The 23,378-nt window shown below is 37.6% G+C and overlaps 1 long non-coding RNA gene across 1 annotated transcript; it reads right to left on the bottom strand.

The window, feature by feature from the left end:
* Positions 1-710: 710 nt before the first annotated feature.
* On the bottom strand, positions 711-18,943 carry LOC105375776 (uncharacterized). Its single transcript, XR_928695.1, has 3 exons — positions 18,774-18,943; positions 8,673-8,842; positions 711-750 (listed from the first exon to the last, which is right to left on the bottom strand). It is a non-coding gene; the product is annotated as an uncharacterized LOC105375776 (long non-coding RNA).
* Positions 18,944-23,378: the final 4,435 nt, after the last annotated feature.

Below are 23,378 nucleotides of genomic sequence, written 5' to 3'. Positions count from 1 at the left end.
CACCTTGGCCTCCCAAAGGGCTGGGATTACAGGCATGAGCCACTGCGCCCAGCCTAATTTTTTTTTAAAAAACTCACATGGATTCACTTTGTTTTTTAATATATGCATAAGCAAGATAAATAACTGGCCATTTCTACACAGTCATCCCTACTGAACCAAGACAGAGGACCTTCGTTGTTGTTTGTCACTGTTGTTGTTGCCGTTGCTGCTTTGCCTAACCATTACAGAAGGGATAGAAAGGCAAGATGCTTCTCTACCCATGAGAGATGTGGTAGAGGGGTGGGACAGACAGACCACACTGCACAGTGGGAGGGTCAGATGGTTCACTCTTGGGTTAGGACAAGCAGACATGAAGGATAAGCACAGTCCACAGTGGGAGGGTCAGATGGTGCCCTCTTGGGTTAGGACAATCAGGCATGAAGGACATGCACACTGCACAGCAGGAAGGTCAAATGGTGCACGCTTGGGTTAGGACAAGCAGACATTAAGGATACGCCCACTGCACAATGGGAGAGTCAGATGGTGCCCTCTTGGTTTAGGACAAAAAGACACTAAGGGCAATCACACTGACGTATACCAAGTAGAGAGAAGGAGAGAGCAGGGAGAAGAAGCCGCAATGCAGCACATGATGTGGTTCCTTCTGTATTTGGATTTCTTTTTTTGTGTGAAAAATGATGAGGACACTGGCTATGTCTTCAGGTCTGTTGGTGGTGTGATCTGATACAGCACATGGAATAATAAGGGGACAACCTGAGGGAAGAGAAACAGACTATAAAGATGAGGCATTGTTATCATCCCTGTGGACTGCAGAGTATAGCTATTTGAAATGAAGAGCAGCAAACATTTAAGCAGAGTGCATTTCAAATTGTTTCAGTCTTGGAAGTCAACATTTCTTTGGTAAATAGTCAGAGGAAAGGCTTGGCGCATTTCATTATTGGAATATAACTAAGTCCTATTGCTTTACATTTAGATAAGGCAAGTGGGACACAGCAAAGTCAAGTGACTTCCCTCGGGAGGCATGTGGCTGGTCAATTCCACAGTCATGGCAAGAAATGAGATTCCTATTTTCCCAGTCCAGAGTTCTCTTACTGTGAAAATTTTTTCTTAATCTTTAGCATGCATAGTTCACTAGGGTACCAAAAGCAATATCTAATTTCCCTAAATGTAATTTACTTAGGACTTTGCCAGATAAAAGTGATGACAGAGAATGAGGAGCCTCAATACGAGGAATTAGGAGACCCAAATGCCTGAAATCCAAAACACATCAAGTTATAACCCCTTGCCTGCCAATGCATTCAGAGGGGGTGCTGGTTACAGATAATTTTTTTATCCCTTTTTGACATCTGTCTGATCTCTCAGAGAAATGCTCTGCAGAGCTAACCAGCTGGTTTCTCACATGGGATGTGCCACAGCTCAGGTGGTATGGTTCAGCAGAAAACAATACATAAATGAAGCAGTAAGCAAGCAACAACCTGTCCATCTTTTAACTGAGAATCTCATGATCAGGGGCTGCTATTTGTAAGATTCTCATCAATAACGGATTTCCATGCTCGGCATTCTCTCACCACACATGCTGTTGTGAAATAGTTAAATAAACTGACTTAACTGATGGGAATATTTCATTTACATCCGTTACTGGTATCATGGCTGGTTTTCTTAATATATTAGAGAAATTGCCCATACTACAGCTGTCACAGGTGAAAAATCTGCATAGACATGCATAATTCATGAATCTCCAATCCCAAAGAGAGAATTGCAAAGTCTTGTTATTGCTCAAATGCCAATTTTACAGCGACTTCCCAGATATAAATGAAGAATCTGAAAAACACATCTGTCAGAAGGGGCTTTTACACTTACTCCATATCCAAGGCTGCTTGCCATTGGCCAAGGTGACTGATGCTTCTTGATTATATCCATGGCCGTGTCCCCCACCCTGCCCAGGATTTCAGTACAGCAGGTGCATTTTCGATTACATAGACCTCATATGAGGCAGCTTGAATTTATGGTAAAAGTTGATGGGAGTGGAAATTCATTAGTAGAACATGACCAAATTATAGGCATAAAAAAGAGAATTCATAGCTACATGTTTTCCAGATATTGAGTAAGTCACATTGTAAATTTGACCTGTTGCTTATAATGTTGTTGCTGTCCAGAATGTTTTTCTCTTACTCCTCTCTATAAATTTTAAATATGACGCATTTCGAAACTCCTTTATCATCTTATAAGCATTGCCCAAAGTAAATGTGAAATACAAAAAAAATTCTTATTATAAAATGGTTAGATTATATAGAAATATATGGAGCCCCTCCTTAAACACTGGTAAACTCTTAGCTACGTATACTTTAAGGATTTTTCAATGCATTTATATAATGCAGGTTCAAATAATGTTTCCTGTATAAATTTTATTGGAAAGTTTATTATTTTCATTGCTTTCTCCTTTTTTTTTATTTGAGCAAACTTTTTACTTAAGCAGAGTTTAGATTTGCAGAAAAGTTGTAAAGATAGCGTGGAGAATTCTCACATACCCCACACCCAGTTTCCCCAATTGCTAACATCTCACATGGTACATTTAGCACAACTAATGAACCAATGTCAATGCATTATTATCAACTAAAATGTATATTTTGCTCAGATTTCTTTAGTTTTCTCTAATATTCTTTTCCTGTTCCAGTTTGATGTCAGACTGCCTGGCTTCTAATGCTAGAATTCTTAGATTACTAGCTGTGTATGTCTGTGTGTTTCATTTTTCTCATCAGTAAATTGAGGTATTAATATAAAAGTATCAACTCATATGGTTGTTATGAGGGTCACATGAATGCGTGGTACTATGTATTAAAACAGTTTCTGACATTAATTAAAAGCTGAGTATAAATATGGTATTTGACAAGTATATTTTTCCAAATAAGTTTATAATCTTGAAAGATAAGTCTTTATTGTTTTTCACACATAAAATAAAGCACATACAACTTACAACAACAGCTTTGTTCATAATGGGCTGAACAAGAAAGTTTGCTGAACTGACTTTATGAGAGTAGCAATCTATTAGAATTATGCAACCTCTAGAATTTTGGGTGAAATCTCTGGAAATTTTGTATTCATTTTATACTCTAAATAAGAATGGAAAAATCATGTTAAAGATAACATTTTGTTTCAGTGTGGTTTTGTTTTTCTTGGTGGTGTTTTGTCAACAAACGTTTATTGTGTGCCTCCTATGGTAGAGGAACATGAGATGCAAAGGAAAAAGACATAATACCCTGCTTTATTAAAAAGCTTACAATTATAATAGAAAACATACCTAAAAGACCAGGATTAGAGGAGATATTTGCAAAACCATGAAAGGGGAAAGCCTGTAGGGAAAAGCCCAGTCTCACTGCAGTGGGTGGGAAAAGCTTCACCATGTTGACCCCTTTCAGGTGAGCAATCGCTTCCTTCAGCCATGGTAGCTGCCAGGCCAATGAGGCTTTGTGTGAAGGTGAACCCTTAAACAGACATGGCCTCTGACCTCATGAGACTGACAGATACTCCAGGAGGTGCTGATGGCTCCTTGTTGAGTGAGAGGAGGTAAGGGAGTTTATTCTATGGTAAACACAAAGAAGCTATAAAAGACCCTGGAAGATTAGCCTGGTCCTAAAATGTCCATCTCATCTATCAAGAGAAGATACAACCAGAATCAGGAGAGTGTTCTCAATCCCAACACTAATCCTAGTACAATAGCGTATTGTAGTTTTATTTGGTATTTGAGGTCTATTTTCATCATCCATGGCTGAGGCAGTCTCCAGGCCAATAAGCAGATCAATCGCTATTCATTGAAAAGCTCCCAGGTCCCAATTCCTATTTTGCTTCTTGTCCTGATTAGCTGTCCTATACCATGTAGAAACCTCAAAGAGCAGTTTAATTGTTTACTTTCCAAAAATCATACCATAAGTCAGATTCCTGTTACCTGAGGGTCACGCTGAAGTTACTGGTGAAGGTTATTGTCATTTGGGCCTTTGTCATTTGACATCCCTCCAGCATGCCAACTCCCTTTCTTGCTTAATTGACCGCCTTACTTTGTGAGTTTTAGCACAAGGCAAAAACCACCTCTAACTGTGCAAGAAGTCATATTTCTGCTTTCTTGGGCTCCTGGGAACCTATGATAAAGCTTAGCTAATCATTTGGATGTAAGTTGGACATTGTCTCAGAACCTGGAAACTCTGCATAATCCTTTCTGGCAAAAAAAAGAGCAGCTTCTTCCCGTGGGCACAGGGGTGGTGGATTGAGCAGCTCTGTCCTTGCTCAGATGTGGTGTCAGCAGCACTGTCTATTCCCAGGATAATCAGTGACGCTATCTTCATGAAATGAGCTCATTGGCATTGTTTCTGGTGGTGAAGTTCCACACCTAACTATCTGGCCTTCTCAGAGCTTCTGTGAACTACCCAATAACTTCTAATACATTATTTTCTGTTTTAATTAGCTAGATTAGGTCTCAGTTGCTTTCAACTAAGACTACTGATAAATAACAGCTTTTTAATTACTTTTTGTTTTAAAATATCTCCATGTATAGACAATTTAATAATACAACAAATATCCCCCCAAAATTTATCTGTATCGGTCAATTTTAACATTTTACTGTATTTGCCTCTTGATTTGAAAAAAAACTTTCTGATGTCATGACATTCATTCCTGAATATTTCAGAGCTCATCTCTTGGATGCAAGGATATTCTCCACATAATCACTCATATACTAAGAAATTTTACACTGAAGCAATAATACTGCCTAGAAGATAACTCATATTCAAATGTTACTAACTGTTCAAATTTGTTATTTATATTTTTTATTTCAAAATTCAAACAACTATCCTGTTTGGTAGCTGGTTACCATATAACTTTAATCTTCTTTAAAATAGTTTTAAAATAGTGTTCTCATCTTTTTTGGTCTTTCAATATACTACTATTTTTGGAAAGTCCAGGATGTCTATTTTGTAGAACTACCCATCTTCTAAATTTTATCTAATTTTTTCTCATAATTATATTCAGTTAAATATTTTTGTCAATAATACAACAGAGAGAATGTATATGTCCTTCTCAGTGCATCATGCCCAGACACTCACTTCATCAGTTGGTTTCATTTTTACAATAGTGAAAGAAGCAGAGCAGTGGTTGCCTAGATAGGGGCTGGTAACAGGTGGGAGAGAGGAATTTTAATTACAAAAGGGATTGATTATACAGGATTATACAGGAGAAAGCTTTGGGGGTGATAGATATGTTCATTATACTGATGGTGATTGTAGTCACACAGGTGCATGAATATGATAAAACTTACCAAATTGTAAAACTCAAATATGTGTAGTTTGTTGTAAAGCAATTATGTAATAATATCATTTGTAAGAGTGAGTAATAAAAGTAAAATTTGTTGATCAAAATATTTGCTTAAGTATTAAACAAAATTTAAAAGTCCTATCCTATAAGACTTCTCATAGGTTACCTATATAAAATAAGTGTTTTGATTCTCCATATCTTTCCTAAATCTCGTAGAGAATTGAACCTTTGTTCCTGAAGAACTCATCATCTTTTTTTCTGAACTCATGTTTCCCAGTACATAATTTGGCAAGGGTGAGCATATGTCAGTCTTTGAACATACGTACTGAAAAAAAATTCCAATGTACAGTGCTGTAACCAGGGGATAAAACAAGAACACACTTAATCCCTGTTTTGAAAACCTTGGTTTAGAAAGCACCATTAATACAAAAATTAGTAAATAAATGAAAATTGATCATGCTATAGTCGCTGTAGACTTTGGTCTACGGACTTTGAGTCTCTGTAGAGCATTTCTCTTAGAAAGTGAATAAGTCACCTACTATTATGTAACAATCCATCTCAAAATTTAGTGGCTTAAAGCACGAATGACTACTTAGTTTGCCTATAAATCCATCTGCAATGTAGGTGGGGTGTGATGGGGAAAACTTGTCGCTCCTCCACACAGCATCAGCCTGGGCACTTAACTGGAGGGTAAAGGATCCACTTTCAAGATGGTGACCTTGCAAGGCTGAGCAAGTTGGTGCTGGTTATTGCCCAGAAGCCCAGCTGAGAATGTGGCTTGTGTATTGTTTCTTTTCCATGTCAGCTCCTCTAAAGACGTCTGGAGATTTCTCACAACATGGTGGCTAGTGTTTTAGGAGTCAGTCACTCTCCCATCTTCTCTGGCACCCCCCCGCCCCCGCCTAAAGAAAAATACCTAGGGAGAAGCGCACAGAATATTTTGACCTAGAGTTGGATATCTTTCATACTGCTTTGGCCAAGTCAGTCATGAGAGTCCGTCCGGGTTTGAAAGAAGAAGATATAGACTTCTGGAATCTGGAGACTGGGTAATGAAAAGTTTGTGAAAAGACATTTACTACAGAAGCTTCTTTACAACAGGGTTTAGCTAAGATTTAATTAGTACTTCAAAACTTAGCACTATTAAATTACTGTTTTCTTATAGTTCTTCTTACATTAAGTCTTCATGATTGTTTACGGTAAACTTAATACACTGTTCAAAACTTAGCTTCAATTTTATACATTTCTCTTCTTATGAAAACAGCAAGCATATAACTTTCTGCTTTTTGTTTCTCATGGGAATCTCAAATTTTAATATGAATGTGAATAGTTAACACACACACACAGACAAAACAGAAAACTGTTAAGCAAAATACACGGTGTTTTGAAATTAAAAGTTAGTTAATTTTGAAGGAAGCTATTGTAGTATGTTAAGAATTTATTTAATTTATCAGTCTGGGAGACAGAGCTAGACTCTGTCTCAAAAAAAAATTTAATTTATTATGGAGTTGAATTTAAATTTAATTGAGCACAATTTGTTTTCAGTTTTATTTTGTGAATCTTTACTTATGTCTTTTATGTATATTTTATTTATATTAATTATATTGTGTCTTAATATAAGTATGTGTGTATACACACACAGAGCCTTTATGAATATAATGTTATATGATATTGTGTGTATATATATTTATAATATATAAAATATATGTATTATGTGTGTGTGTTTGAGAGAGAAAGAGAAAGATTTTTTTATGGTGTCATATTACACAAAACAGATGAACAACATAAAGACTATAGTGTGGTAGGAAAAAATAGAAAAAATATGTTTGGAGTTGGATATAACTTACTAAAATTCTATTCCTACACCTTGGACAGGTTAATATTCCCTAACATCACTTCCTTTTTCCATTAGTAACAGTAAAATAATGCTATCTGCCAAACTGAATGATTATAAGAAAGAATTGAAACAATATTTTAAATTTTTGTGCATAGTAGATGTTCAATTAATTTTTAAATTATTTTTCTTTCTTATTATATTGATTTATCAACAGTTTTCTACTGGTGTTTATACTTCTGACTTATTTGAATTTAATAGTTTGTTCTTGTGTTTTCTTTCAGAGATCTTAAGTATTTGTAACCATATTCATCTATGGAATGATCACACTACAGATGCAAGGGCTCGGGCATGTGGTAGATAATAAATATTTGAAAAATTAAGTTACTAATATTGATATTTTTTTCATATTTAAGTAGCTCATACATATTAACAAAATACTTGCAAAAATGTTCTTTCCTACAGCAGAAGTCTGTGAGCTTTAATTCTACCTAGAGTATGCAGATGAAGAAACTGAGACTAAGAAATGTTGAATCATGTTCAAGAACGTGCAACTAGTAAGAGAGAGAAAATCTAATTTTAATCTCATAAAAACCCCAGTTTTTATTTCAGTGTTTGCACGCTATCTCATATTTAGGGTTAATTGCAAAGTAAACAATTGCTGTAGAGAATTAACCTCTAAAATTAAGCAGCTGCACTTGATAAATTCAGCACTAGTTATTTCAGAAAGTTAGGAATAGTAGAGATTGAGAGATTTGCAGAAGGGGAAACCTTCATCATTAATGAGTTAATCTCAAAAGACAGTGTAGGTCATATTCACTATCAACTGGAATAAACCAGGAACCTCTGAAGGGCATAGCTTTGGAAGGAAGAATGGCAAAGAAAGCTTGGTTTGATATCATCAGAAAACTCATAAATGTTTCGTAAGGACTTTACAGAAGAAGAAGATAAAACCTCTCCAAATGACCTCTTTTGATTTTCTCATAATGGGGAGATTACAAATCCAGATGAAACATCAGGCCAGAATGAAGACCTGCCTTTTGAAAACCTGAAAATGCCTTGTCAAAATCCATTTTCTCCTATCTGATCCTACATGTTTCTGCTACTCTCTGCACTTGAAGAGAAAGAAGGTTATCAGATCGTCACAGCAAGGGCAGCCGTGGAGTCACCCAGAGAGGAAAATCCACCCCACTCCACTCTGACAGTCTGGCTGGCAGAGCTGATTCTCTATTCATTGAAAATGGCACAATAGAGGTGGGCCAGTTCTTTTACAGGCTGTGGGTAGTTGCCTTTTTAGTCTGATGCCTACTAGGTCTGTGCATGGCAGGTCAGCGAGATAACCAATACCAAATTTCCCCTTGGACAAATGCTGTGAATGTCGTACAAGTTAAATAAATGAGAATGTATTGAAATTTTTTACACACTATACAACATTATGCAATGTATTTCTTATAAATACATATTTTCTTATTTATTTCATTAATAACAATGTTTATTGTAGAATGATAGAAAATAGAAATAAGCAAAAAGATAACAAAATTACCATTTACTCAAGAAGCAGACATAATCTGGCATGTGTTGTGACAGAACACCTTCCCAGTATAAAATGCTATAGGTGATAGTCAATATTCCTCTCCAAAATTCTTTTCTTTAGCAATTTCAGTTCTCTTGATTACATCTAGATGAACAACTTCTTATAACCTATAGCTAGAACTATAATAAGAGAGTGTTATATCAGTATATTATTCCATACATAAATATATCTAAATCATATATCTATCATTATCATATATATTTGTATTTTTATTATATGATGCATATGTACACATATGTGTATATGCATTTACAAAATTGTATACAGCTGCACACACACACACTCACACACACATTTTTTTTTACCGTGGATGGTGGCTTGTGTGCCTACTCTCCCTTCTGTACTCATAACAATCTTAACCACCATTCTCTGTTGCTTGAGGCCTCACAAAGCGGGCACAGAAATTGTGCTAAGTAGTCAATAGGGTTTAATGGCCTGGCATGCCAGTTCTTCCAGGGGCAGCATTCATTGTGTCTGATTATTGCCACGAACCACAGATTGTTTCATGGCATTATGGTCCTGTTGGGATTCTGCTAGTTACAGCAGCTTCTCTTTTCTCTCCATCTAATAAACCTCACTCTACCCTGAAGTCAAGCCTGACTCCCAGCTCCTCCGTGAAGCGTCTCTGAATTTTTTGACCATAGTGAGTCTCTCGTTTTTTTGGACACTTAGGACCACAAACATTTTATATGTAATCCTAAATATATTTCTGATAAATATATCACTTGCATATGAGACTTCCCATTTAAGGCACATATGTCTTACCTTCCTGGCTGTGTTCATCTTTAAAGGGAAGGACTGTAAAGTTATATCTTTATATCATCATAGGAATAGTACTGGGCATTACTCAATAAAAGGGACTCAATATATCAAGATACTCAAGAATGTGTGCTTGGAATAAGTGAAAGATATATGTGTTTGCATTTTTACCAACTTAATAATAGTCTGGAATAAACTTCAAAGATTCTATACTTTTTAATTATTAATTTTTTTGACTTATTTGTCTATCTTCAACTTTATGTTAAAGGGTCTACAATGGCAAATATCTCATCTTATTAATATTGACAACTTCATGCATGCATGCCTATGTGACAGTTAAAAATAATTATTTGCTGAAGTTATAAATAATGTTATAATCTGCCTTCTCTCATATTAGCTGTCTCATATTGACTCTTGTTCTCAAGATAAGGCTAATTCTTTTTATACACAACAGTCTTTAAAGTATCTGATGATAGCTCTTGTGTCTCCCCTGTGCCTTGTCTTTCCCAAGCTAAATATCCTTAGGTCTATCATCTGGCTCTGTTTCTAGACCATTCAGTAGCTGCCTGATTTCCTCTGGAGATGGTCCAGATGTCCAATGGCAATTAGAACTGAGCACAGTTATTTAAGCAATTATTTACTCATTCTTCTTTTCTCTAATAGCTGCCTATGTGATAGGGTGATGAACAAACCTTACTCACTGTCTTTAAAGACAATGTTTTGACATTCATGTTTTGGTGACTTTGGCTGTAATGATGAGATTAAAACAAAAAGAACTCATTACCACATCAATCTCTAGGAAAGACAAGGAACTGCTTTACCCTCCCCATTCTCACTTCCTTCCAAGGCTAAGGAGAAGAAATTTCGTTAGTCCTAAAGATTATAGTGAAGTAGCTGACATGCCTAGTTGGTTCATACTCAGAAATATATTTCAGATGTAAAACACACACACACATACATACACATATATATGTATATATATGTGTATGTATGTATATATGTGTATGTATGTGTATATATGTGTATGTATGTGTGTATGTATGTGTGTGTGTGTGTGTGTGTGTGTGTTTATAAATATTGCTTTACCATTGGCTGTCTGTAATGGTAATCACTTACTTCTGAACAAACTTGAATTATTATTATTTTTTTTTTCTGTAGGACAACTGCAGTCAGATGGACCTGAGACCCTCTCTGGCTTGGAAAGAGGCAATTTTTGCCTTATTCCTTAAAACACCACAAAGAAAGTAAGTAGAATGTAGACAAGGAGGCTTGGAAGATAGGATTTCATAGTTGTTATTCACTAGGGGGCTAAAGTGTGACTCCATCCATCTCAGCAGTGTAGAAGTGCTTACTGAAGCTGAAGCCAAAACCCTAACATGTAATACAGTAGGGTATATTAAATTTACCTACTGTCTGGGGATTGAATTGAAAAAAAGCAGCTGATAGGGAATGATGATTTCCTCACGTGACAGCCTTAACCAAACAAGGCAGATGACATTACAGTTTCCACAATAGGAAAAGAGGTAGATTATGCTATAATTAATTAACACGTCTAAGGAGGTTGTGAGTAAGACTATTTGGGTGATGAAAACCTTGTCCACTAAAAGGAACCAAAATAGAGGGTAGATAATTCCACTTCAGATAGATCATCTAAGAGAGAACCCTGAAATTTAACATAAAGTCGAAGGCAATACCCAAAGCAAATAAGGAGAAGGAAGAGAGGCTGCCTGCTCACCTGCGATTGGCTGGAAGCCTTGAGAGACTCCCTAATACAAGGAAAAAGTGAGTGAGAGACCCCAGTGGTCCACATTCTCCCCATGGACAGCTGCAATTCTAGCAACAGGAGAGTTCTTTGACCCTCATTGGCCCTAAAATTAATTAAATTAAGTGTGAGTATTTCCCGAGTATTGGATAGCTCCCTAACATAGGGAACTTCCAAACAATTGCGTGAGGGGACTGCTCCAAGAGACAGGATTTGCAGGTCCCCCACACTCCCTGAGACATAAGCAGCTGCAGCAAGGCACCATTTTAAAGCCCCACCCCAACAGATGTGTAATCTCCTAGAGCCCACTGACTCTGAGGTTGAGGCACAAGAGAAGCATGGACTATTACCTTCAGGGCTGAGATATGAATGATCATGTGCTACAACTTTCAGAGCTAAGACACTTCCAAGGCACCAGCTACTACATCAGGCCTAAAGTGTGCCACTCACCAAAGCTGAGGCGTGAGTGGTGTGTGCATCCTCTACCGGCCAGTACCTCTGCTCTTTACGGTGGCAGAACAGCAGCATGGCCATGAATTCCACAGGTAGCCTGGGGATTACCTTGTCCTTGCTGGCAGTTGCACACATCATCAGGAGGCCTGAGGACAAGGCCTTCTGGGCTGCCTTTACCCCTAACCCCCAGACCAAAGCACACAGTCCAGGAACCAAGGGATCACACAGTCCTGTCAACCAGTGTTGGCTTCTAAACTTTTACCAAGGGGCCTGACGTTGGGCCTAACCACACAGCCACTGCCATCTTAGCTGGCACCTACCTGCTTATGCCACATGTGGAACTAGAGACTGGTCCATGCAGTCCATCACAGCCATTGCCAACACCAGTGCATACCACTTAAGAACCAGAAGGTTATCTTGCCACTGCGATTGCCAGCTTCTCAGAGCCTGAGAGCCCATCTACCCACCGAGCTCACTGATGCTACTATGCTACTACCAACATCTAAGTAAGTCACCTGGAGGGTCAAGAATCATCCTGACTGTACCTATTAACACAGGTGCCAGCATACACCACCCTAAAGATAGGCATGCTCAGCTCACTACTGCCACCATTAGAGATCAAAGTCTGGTCTACCTGGTATGTTAATCTCTACTCAACTTTACCACAACTTCCACTTATAACTGTATCCTAAGCCACTAAGGAAATTGCAAATAACACAAATGTCTATAGGTAAATAAATCACACAGAGACTACACTCTTGCACACACTCAGAATCAAAGCCAAATTGCCCTGCCCAAAAAACGTAATAGATACATCCTCAGGAAAAAGTCCTCTCCTACAAAAATAAATTCTAAAAACTTGAAGAAGTAACTGTTATACCAGACGTGCAGATATCAGCTAAGGAAACAGGAAACATGGAAAAGCCAGGAAATATGACACCTCCAAAGGAACACAATAATTCTCCAGCAACAGATCTTAATAAAAATAATTACAAAATTCTAGAAAAATGATTCAAATTTTTGATTCTGAATAAGCTCAGAGAAATACAACAGAATTCCGAAAAATACAACAAATAAATCAGAAAAAATAATTCCAAATGTGAATGAGAAAATCACCAAAGTGATAGCTATCATAAGAAAAGAACCAAACTGAATTTATAGAACTAAAGAATTCATTGAATAAAATACAAAATGCATCCCAAAGATTCAACAATACACTAGACTAAACAGAAGAAAGAATCTCAGAACTTCAAGACAGGTCTGTTTAAATAAACCAGCCAGATAATAATATAGAGAAAAAGTATTTTTAAAAAATGAACAAAGCATATATGACATATGGGACACTATAGAGTGAATAATTATTTAATTGATTGGGGTCTCAGAGGCCAAAGAAATAATGAAAGAGTAAAAAAATAATAATCAAACAATAAATGAAAACTTCCCAAGTCTAGCAAGAAATTTAAATATTAAAATAAAGGATACTCCGACACCAGCAACGAGATTAATACAAAACGGTTTTCTATATGGTGCATTATATTCAAAGTGTCTAAACTCAAAGATAAACAGAGAATTCTAAAACCAGCAAGATAAAAATGTCTTCTCACCTACAAAGAAACCTCCATCAAACTAACAGTGATACTAAGTAGAGGAGAAAGCCCATGCAGGCACTATTTTCTTGAGCAGACTTTTGCTGTAGGGAACAGACACTTGGTCCTGTTGGAACCTGTGGGAGACCTTATAAAAGATACTTCAAAATTATCTTAACTTGTTAGTACCAGCTGAAGACTGTCTCAGGAGTTTTACTCCCTAGCATGGCCTGACTGCCTGGTCCAGGGTAAAAGAAAGCATGCAAGTAGAAAGTTGTAAGTGGTTATACTAGGACACAATCAGAAGTTATAGGGTGATATTTGCTGAAGGGATTTTTCTTGGCCATTAACAGCAGCTGCCACAATATGTAAATCAATATGTAGAAATGTGAATAGATTTTGCTTTTTGTACAGTATATTGATACATTGTTGGAACCATATCTAAATGAAGTCAAGGTGTTTGTAATGTTAGTTTGTCTCTGTACCACTTTTAGTCTGACCACAGCTAATTGGATGAGAAGCCCTACTCTTTCATCTGTCTCCAAATCTCTCCCTTTAGACTCTAGTTCTCATTATCCTCTTCGTGATTAGTTTCATGACCAACAGAGATGAGCTATGCAGTTGTCCTACTGTATCTCTGCAAACAAAGAACCACTTATTCTCCCTCCAATTTTTTCTCTTCAACTCAACTGTTGTATATCTGTTCAAACACCCAGGAGTTCAATACCTTCTGTCAATGAATTAATGAGTTTTTCCCAATAACTTTATTGTAAAGAAAGTCACACTAGGGGAAAGGGGCTTAAATAAGATCATGTGAAAGACCAAAGGGGACTATTTTTAAAATCCAGTAAGAAATCAAGAAAATAGAAATATAAGTGATCTATCAAGAAATGATATAATTTAAAGCCTTTGGGTTAATTTCTGTGACAAAATGTTTTGTGAGTTTAAAAATTGAATTACTATAATTCAGCTCTTGGAGAAAGTATGTAATGGGCTATATTTACCGAAGGAGCTGAGGCACAACCCAAAAGCAGCAATGAAATCCCACAGTGTCTGTGAAGAATTACCTTCCACAGATGTGCTTGGAGCTCCACTGGGTCACGAACACTATAGAGCTACCAAGATAGTTTTATAAGAGAGATACTTTCAATTTCAAGGGGTAACTTTTATTTCCTCTAAGAAACAACAAACAGTACAATACCAAATAAAATTGGTTCCTTCTTTTAGGATTCTATGCATTTTTACTCCTTGGTTACTCCTCTCAGGAGATTTTATGGTTTTTTTACTGGTTGGAAAGGGCTGCAACCATGCCCAGTGTATTAGTCTGTTTTTACACTGCTATTAAGAAAACTACTTGAGACTGGGTAATTTATGAGGAAAAAAAAAAAAGATTTAATTGACTCAGAGTTCTGCATGGCCGTGGAGGTGGCAGGATACTTATAATCCTGACAGAAGGTGAAGGGGAAGCAAGGACCTTCTTCAGCAGGAGAGAGAGACAGAGTGAGGGCAGAAGTGTCACCTTAAAACCATCAGATCTTGTGAGAACTCAGTCACTATCACAAGAACAGCTAGTGAGAAATCTGCCCCCATGATCCAGACATCTCTCACCTGGCCCCTCTTCTGACTTGTGGGGATTTCAATTCAAGATGAGATTTGGGTAGGGATGCAGAGCCAAAGCATACCATTCTGCCCTTGGCCTCTCCCAGGTCTCATGCACTTTTCACATTTCAAAACCAATCATCCCTTCCCAAAAGTCCCTCAAAGTCTTAACTCATTCCAGTATTAAGTCAAAAGTCCAAGTCCAAAATCTCATCTGAGCCAAGATAAGTCTCTTCTGCCTATGAGCCTGTAAAATAAAAAATGAGTTAGTTACTCCCAAGATACAATGGAAGTGCCAGCATTGGGTAAATGTTCATAAATGTTCCTGTTCCAAATGGGAGAAATTGGCAAAAACAAAGGGGCTACAGACCCCATGCAAGTCTGAAACCCAGTGGGAGAGTCATTAAATCTTAAAGCTCTGAAATAATCTTATTTGACTCAATGTCTCACATCCAAGGCAAGCTGATGCAAAGGGTGGGCTCCCAAGGCCTTGGGCAGCTCCACTGCCATGGCTCTGCAGGGTACAGCCCCCTTTGGCTGCTTTCATGGGCTGTCATTAAGTGTCTGTAGCCTTTCCAGGTGCATGGTGCAAGCTGTCAGTGGATTTACCTTACTGGGGTCTGGAGGATGGTGGCTCTCTTCTTGCAGCTCCACTAGGCAGTGCCCCAGTGGGGACTCTGTGGTAGGGGATCCAACCCCATATTTCCCTTCTGCACTGCCACAGTAGAGGTTACCCACAAGGGCTCGATCCCTGTAGCAGACTACTGCCTGGACATCCAGGCATTTCCATACATCCTCTAAAATCTAGATGGATGCTCTCAAAGCTCAACTCTTGTCTTCTGCACACCTACAAGCTTGACACCAAGGGGTGTTGAAAGGAGCACTGCTTCAGAGGGTGCAAGCCCCAAGCCTTGGCAGTGGAAGCTTCCACTAAAGCAGTAGCCCAAGCTGTACCTTGGCCCTTTCAGCCATGGCTGCAGCTGGAGCCTCTGGGACGCAGGGTGCCATGTCCCAAAGCTACAGAGAGCAGCAGGGCCCTGGGCCCAGTCCATGAAACCATTTTTCCCTCCTAGTCCTCTGGGCCTATGATGGGATGGGCTGCCATGTAGATCTCTGAAATGCTCTGGAGACATTTTCCCCATTGTCTTGGCTATTAACATTCAGTTTCTCTTTACTTATGCAAATTTCTGCAGCAGACAGCTTGAATTTTTCCCGAGGAAATGGGTTTTTCTTTTCTACCACATGGTCAGGATGTACATTTTCCAAACTTTTACACTTTGCTTGCCTTTTAAACATAAATTCCAATTTCAGACTATCTTTTTGTGAATACACATGACTGTATGCTTTTAGAAAAATCCAGGTCATGTCTTGAATGCTTTGCTGCTTATAAATTTATCCTGCCAGTTTCCCGAAATCATCTCTCTCAAGTTTTAAGTTCCAAAGATCTTTAGGGCAGGGGCAAAATGCCACCAGTCTCCTTGCTAAGGCATAGGAAGAGTGACCTTTTCTCCAGTTCCCAATAAATTCCTCATCTCTATCTGAAACCACCTCAGCCTGGACTTCATTGTCCATATCACTATCAGCATTTTAGTCAAAACCATTCAACAAGTCTATAGGAAGTTCCAAACTTTCCCACATCTTCTTGTCTTCTTCTGAGCCCTTCAAACTGTTTCAACCTCTGGCAATCATTTAGTTCCAAAGTTACTTCCACATTTTCAGGATATCTTTATAGCAGTGTCTCAACTCCTGGTACCAATTTTCTATATTGGTCTGGCTTCACACTGTTATAAAGAAGCACCTGAAGCTGGCTATTTTATGAAGAAAAAAGGTTTAATTGATTCATGGTTCCATGCGGCTCAGGAAACTTGCAATTATGGCAGAAAGCAAAAGGGGAAGCAAGAACTTTCTTCACATGGCAGCAGGAGAGAGAGAGAGGAGAGACAGAGAGAGAGAGAGAAGTGGAGGGTGGGGTGCGGTAGTGCCAGACTTTAAAACCATCAGCTCTTGTGAAAATTCACCTATCACAAGAAGAGCAAGGTAGAAATCCACCCCCATGATCCAATCATCTCCCACCAGGCCCCTCCTCCAATACATGGGGATTACAATTTGAGAGGAGATTTGGGTGGGGACACAGAGCCAAATCATATCACCTACTAACTCCTGCAGTGCCAGCTATGCTCACAGTTCAGAGCTCCAAAAAGGGAGGATGCTGCATTATGGAGCAAAGACCTTGACCTAAACAACTACACATGCTTCAGGTGACTGTGTGCCTGAGTGTAAGTCATGAGATGCCTCTTATTTCTCAGGTGTAAGAGCCTATGAAAAAATGTCAATACTGAGCTTTGGTTTTAAACTCAAAGGTCTTTTCAAAGACATGGTCTAATCTTTAGATCTTCTAGTTTAGTGTTTCCAGATTTAGCAAATATAAATACCAGCTGCCCCCCAAATTGAAAATTTGTGTAAGCAAGAATAAATACATATAAATACAAAGTATATATGTATACTTTGTATTTATTTTGTAAAATATATATATTTGTAAAGTGTATATATATGTATATATATAAAGTATATGTATACTTTATATATATATTTGTAAAGTGTATATATATGCGTGTATATACACACACACACACACCCCCACACACATATATGCATACATAGATATTTTTAGTACTAGGATGATTCATAAAATGTTGGAGACAGTAAAAAATATTGTTTATCTGAAATTCACATTTAAATTGTGTCCTTTATTTCATCTGGTAACCACATTCTAGGTCCTGCTTTAGTGCCATCACCCTTATCTCAGTCTTGGGCTTAACACCACTCCAGGTGAAAATAGAACATTGCTATATGACTTCACTGAGGGGGCCTTTTTGAGGATATCGATCCTTTGATCCTCCCATACTTACAGTGTCTGCACCCTGTTCTCACCACTATGTTGACCATATTCCAGAGCATCCTGAAACATTAAAGGACCCTGAAGAACTAGCTGGCACAGCATGCCTGCCTCATCCCTGGCTCTTGCTTCATTCATGTGCTCACTCATGTATTGAAAATTGAGTGCATGGAGCCTTCAGCTCCCTCAGGGTCTTTCCTCTCATACATTTGAAGTGCTATTCCAAGGGCTAAGTACATCTTCTTCAATTTTCTTAATAGCAAAAACAGCTGCCCCAGCATAGAATTAATTGTATTACCTTTTTATTTTGTTCTCAAGCACTTCTTAATCTCCTACTCACATTCTTTTGCCAAGGACATTCTCTGAGCTTTGTGTGTGGGCTCTTTCATTATCTTTCCTTCCCTAGTGTCTTTTCATTACTCTCATTGCTTGTGGATTTTGTTAAGGGGAAGTCTCAATTATAATTATAGTGCTCAGAGTTGTCCTTGCCAGAAGAACAAAAAAAAAGAATCACTTGTCTACTGCCTCCTCAGATGTCAGGGTTTTTTTTATCATAGGATATTATCTGAAGTTATTATCAGAAATGTTTGCATGTGGGAGAACTTTGCACTTAGGGGCTTACATAATAGGCAGCCAGTGACTTCCCCAAATCAAAGTTGGGAGCTGTGGAATTCTCCTCATTTACTACGTGCCTTGAAGCATATAACTTAAAGGATAAATAGAAAGTATTCATTCTTCCACCTCAACTTTGGATACTTAATCACTCCCTTATGCACACACATTTTAAAATAAGATCAATGTTGGAAAATATGTAGAAAACATGTCCAAATAATTGACTAATAGTTTTAGCTTACACCATGAGTTCACATGAGATTGATGAACTATAGATTTGAAATTGTAGAAAAACATCAAGGTGCAGCATAGGGTTTCACACCCTGAAATTAAAATTTTTATGTCGAAGATGGTCAGATTTTTGACCCAACTCTTCTCTTTACCTTCCAGATACAGAGCTTGACTACATCTCCCAGCCCCACATGCAGTTAGGTAGGGTCACGAGGTGGGTCATGTGACAGGCATGTCCAGAGGAAGGTGAGCAGTCAGGATGCATTTCCAGGTCTGCCCTATAGTGATCTCTCACATTGATCTCTCTGTTTCCATCCAGAGGTTGAATGGAGACAATTCTGGGAATCTAAAATTGGGGAAGGCGTGAGATAGAAGAGACTTAGTCCTTGGTGAAGAAAAGTATCCTAGCAGCAGTTCATGACCTGGAACACCCACACTGGCCTAAATACAAGCATACAGTAAAATTTGATTGAATAAAGGCTTTATATTTTTAAGAGCAGCTAGCTTTCTAGATCAATGCAAGACATTCATTCATTCATTCATTCATTCATTCATTATGTCCATGAGTTGTTGTTCACATATGTGCTCAGTGCCTACTATGTGACAGAGTCTCTGCAAGTTATTCACCTCGGTAAATGTATACTGTATATATATCCACACATCTTCCGTTATGGAGCTTGCAGTTTACTGGGGATGAGGGACAATAAAGAAAAATGAAGTAATCATGTACCTTGTGATAAACGTGATGAAGGAAACACATGGGAGAGATAATTCCTAATGCTGAATGCCTGCCTACTCATGGTGGTCATGGCCAACTTCTTGCAGTAGATGATGTATAAGGTGAGATGCAATGTATGAAAAGGAGCCAGATTTACAGATAATTGGAGAGGAGAATATTAGGTAAAGAAAACACCAGAGCCATTAAAATGAGAAAGAGATTGGTGAAAAATAAAGGCGCTTTTGCTGAATTATACTGGGAGAGCTGAATAATGTGTAATTGGAAAAGTAGGCAAAAGACAGGCTATATGGGCCATAAGGGTCACATAGGGATTTTGGAATTTAGCTTAAGTGAAAACATGTTTATTTAACCCTTGAACAAACTTAAGCTTGGGCTTGGTATAAAAGGATTGATTCTTTACAATATTATTTATGTTGCTGTGCGTAGTATTGATTATAAGAGGATGAAAGTGATAATATAGAAAAAAGTGAGATATTGGAGTGATCAAGGTTAGAGCTAATGACAAGTTGGAGTAAGTGAGGGGCAGTTGTTGTAGAGATAAGTGGGAAGATTCAGGACATTTTGGAGGTAGAATCAACAAAGGGAAGTAAAGTTTGGATATGGGGCTGCAAAAGGAAGGATGTTAATGATGATTATCAGTTTTATAGCTTGACGACATGGACCAAACATGGTACTATTTTCTTGTTTTAAATAAGACGGGAAGAGCAGTTATTAAGGGAAGATGACGCTTTAAGACAAGACTCTCTTAGGAGATCAGTGTTGAAATTAAGTTTAATATGCTGGTGAGATATGTCTAAGCAGAGGAATTGGGCAGAAACCTGGGCATGAGATTTTGAAATTCAGTGAAAGGTTTCAACTGGAGATATAAACATCAGAATTGTGAACATAAGCATGTGTTTAAAAACATGAGAAAGAGTGAGGTCACCAAAAAAGAGAGTACAGGAAAATAAGGGCACTGAGAGCTCAGCTCTGGGGAAAGGTCAGTATGAACAAAATCTCATTGATGTACAGTATCTTCTCATCTTCAGCTCCTTTCTCACACCCCCATGGTTTCAAGTCTGGGTTTGGGATTCTTGCCCTGCTCTCCTGTAATTCAACTGCTTCCTTGTGTGCATTTCCAGTAATTTTCACCCTGTGTGTTATATCACAGAATCTCATCTGGTAACAGTTGGAAGAAAGGATCAATAAACTCTCATGATAATGCCCAACTTAATAGTCCTCCAATGTTCTGCCTCCTCTTTTAATGTATAGAATCCTGAAGAAAGACTAAAACCATAGGTACTAGAGCCGAGCTATGTAGACCAGTTCAACAAAACCTTATTTCTGTCCTCTGTAGTCACTATGGAAACAGAGAGAGACATTTTTAGGGCTGATCTATCTAAAATGTACCCAAAAAGTCCTTTGACATTCTAGAGCATTCCAAATTGCTCATTTCTATTCTCCAGTTTTAGTACAGTAAAATCTTTAGTAACATCCAGGGAAATATACTTCCTGGAGCATTAATTACACTGTTAAGGGAAAAGTGACTGGATCTGCTTTAAGGTTGAATTACTGGAATTAAATAATTCATTATAATCTCTATGTAATCCCTATTGGGAGAAAAACCACACTGTCTATGTAGTTAGCTCTCTTCAAATCATTCATTGGAGATGTAAAGGAACATTACCTATTTTATGACTTGTTGTAAACATCACCCTTGAGTGAAATAAATCGTTTCTTTAGCCTCTTTCTCTGAATATATCTCCATCAGTCTGACTTTCTCTCTTTGGAGACAAGCAACAAACCATAATTTATTTTCTTTGTGATTAGTCTACAAGTATTTCCTATACTGAGCTTTGAAAACCAAAAGTTTATTCAAATGAACAAACTTGAATGTACCTTTTATGCCAGATACTGTGCAGGAAGTTGGAGATAATTGAAATTACAATCTTGTCATCCAGAGAGACAATAAAAGTGCAAATTAAAGACCTAGGAATGAGCATCACATTTGAGAGGAAGAAGAATTTTGAAGATGAGACTAAAGTTTTTTACTCACGTGTCTGGGTATGGACAGTTATGGACAGAGACTGGTGGTACACTTTGGCAGTCTGGGACATACTTAGTTTGAGTATGTTAAGAAATAGCGAGATAGACATTCTGTTAGACAGTTGTATACTTGACTCTAGAGTTTGGAAACATATTAAATATAGAGAAAAAATCATCTATTGTGTGTATCCAATTAGCAGCACTAAAGCAACATTGCTTTTTTTCTCCATTACTTAGATATAAACTAAAAGGTGAGAAAAGTGAAGGCGGAGAGAGATTTAACATGTGTGAAGCACCTGGTTTTGCAGTATCTCATTGTAACCTTCTTGTGAGTTTATGGCATGTATACGAACCTTGGTTCAATAAAAAAGGAAACTAAAGTTCAGGATATGGAGGGACCTGCTCCTTCTGGGACTCATCCTTTGGCCTGGTTTACCCCAAAGCTCATGTCTTTCACCACGCTATTCGGAGACTGTGATGTCTGTCCACGAAGCTGGCTGATGTCTGACCTTCTGTGTGATACTTTCATCTCTGGTGACACCACAAATATCCTAGTGGTATTATTTGACCTCAGAGCATCTTGCCTTGCATATGGAAGGAGCTCAAATGCTCAGGACATGAGTAGATGGATAGAGGAACTAATAATGATAAAAAGATTAAGTTTGATTTAAAATCACTACACCAAACTATGAAAACTTATAAATTGTGAATTTGACAATAATACACCCTTCTCCATTAAAAGCCTTCAAAAAACCCATATTGATGGTAGAATAAGGCCCTAAATATTTTTAAATGACCTCTAGAACTTTTCAATCTGATCCAATATGTTTATTCAGATATTCATCCCACAATTCCTATTTATTCACTATGACTCAGTCATCGCCCATGCAGAATGGCCTTTATTTATCATTTTGCCTTGAATATTCTCCTTTAATCATTTAAGATCTAATTTCTATTCTATCTTTCTGGTCTACTGAATGACTCTTCAGCTCTCAAGACTTCCCTGGTTTACCTCAGCTAGAAACAATGCCTCTCTCCTTTGAACAAGCCTATTTTTTACGTTCTACCTTTCAATTAATATTGTATGAACTTTTCTTATTTTACACGACAAAACGGTGAACTTCCTGAGGACATTATTGGGATTGAATTGAAAGTTCTTTCTTCCCTAAATTCCTGGTACAGGGAGATGGCTATTTGGGGCCTGAAGTGGATGAGGAGTTGCTTTAAGTGGCGAAAGAGAAAAGATAAGAGTTAATGAAAATAAACTTAAAAATAAATTCAAATACTTTCTTCAGCACCATTTTTTCCTCTTCCTCCTCCAGGATCAGTGAAAGAACTAGAAACATACAAAGGAAAGTGCAACTTAAATTACCTATCGTGGTTTAACATATGTTCTTTGAAGTGTTGATAATAATATTTGGGAAATGTAAAATATAGTAGGCAGTAAAGTAAGTAGTAATTGTCTTGAGGTAGCCATTCATTACACCGTATTTCATTTCACCTAATATTTTCTGTGAACATATATAGAGTAGGAGTTCATGGGTTAGCGTTTTTAAGCCATATCACACACAATATATTATGAGTAAGAATTGCATGACAGTGGATGTAAATCATTACCAGTCATTGTTTTAATTATTACATAGCAGTTTGTTGTATTAATATGTTTTTTGTTTCATTTCCATAATCCCCTTTTTAATAACTTAGTTATTTGTGATTTTATCTTTTATAAAACTTGCTGTGATAAACCTTAAAATTATATATTTGTACATGAGTTCTTTTTGTATAGGATAAATTCTAGAGTTTAAATTGTCGAATCTGAGTTCACTAATTTAATATTTTACTCATTCAACAGTCATTTCTACACTCACCAGTAATATTCAGGATGGAGAAAGAGGTTGTCTCACTATATTATCACCAATAGTGGGTGGATTATTTTAATAAATTGCCATTCTGACAACTGAATGAGTACACACATGTGTATACACACACACAC

This window comes from Homo sapiens, chromosome 8, assembly GCF_000001405.40.
Source record: "Homo sapiens chromosome 8, GRCh38.p14 Primary Assembly".
Taxonomy (NCBI): Eukaryota; Metazoa; Chordata; class Mammalia; order Primates; family Hominidae; genus Homo; species Homo sapiens.
The sequence above is the reverse complement of the archived record's forward strand: the minus strand, read 5'-3'. Positions and strand labels throughout refer to the sequence as shown.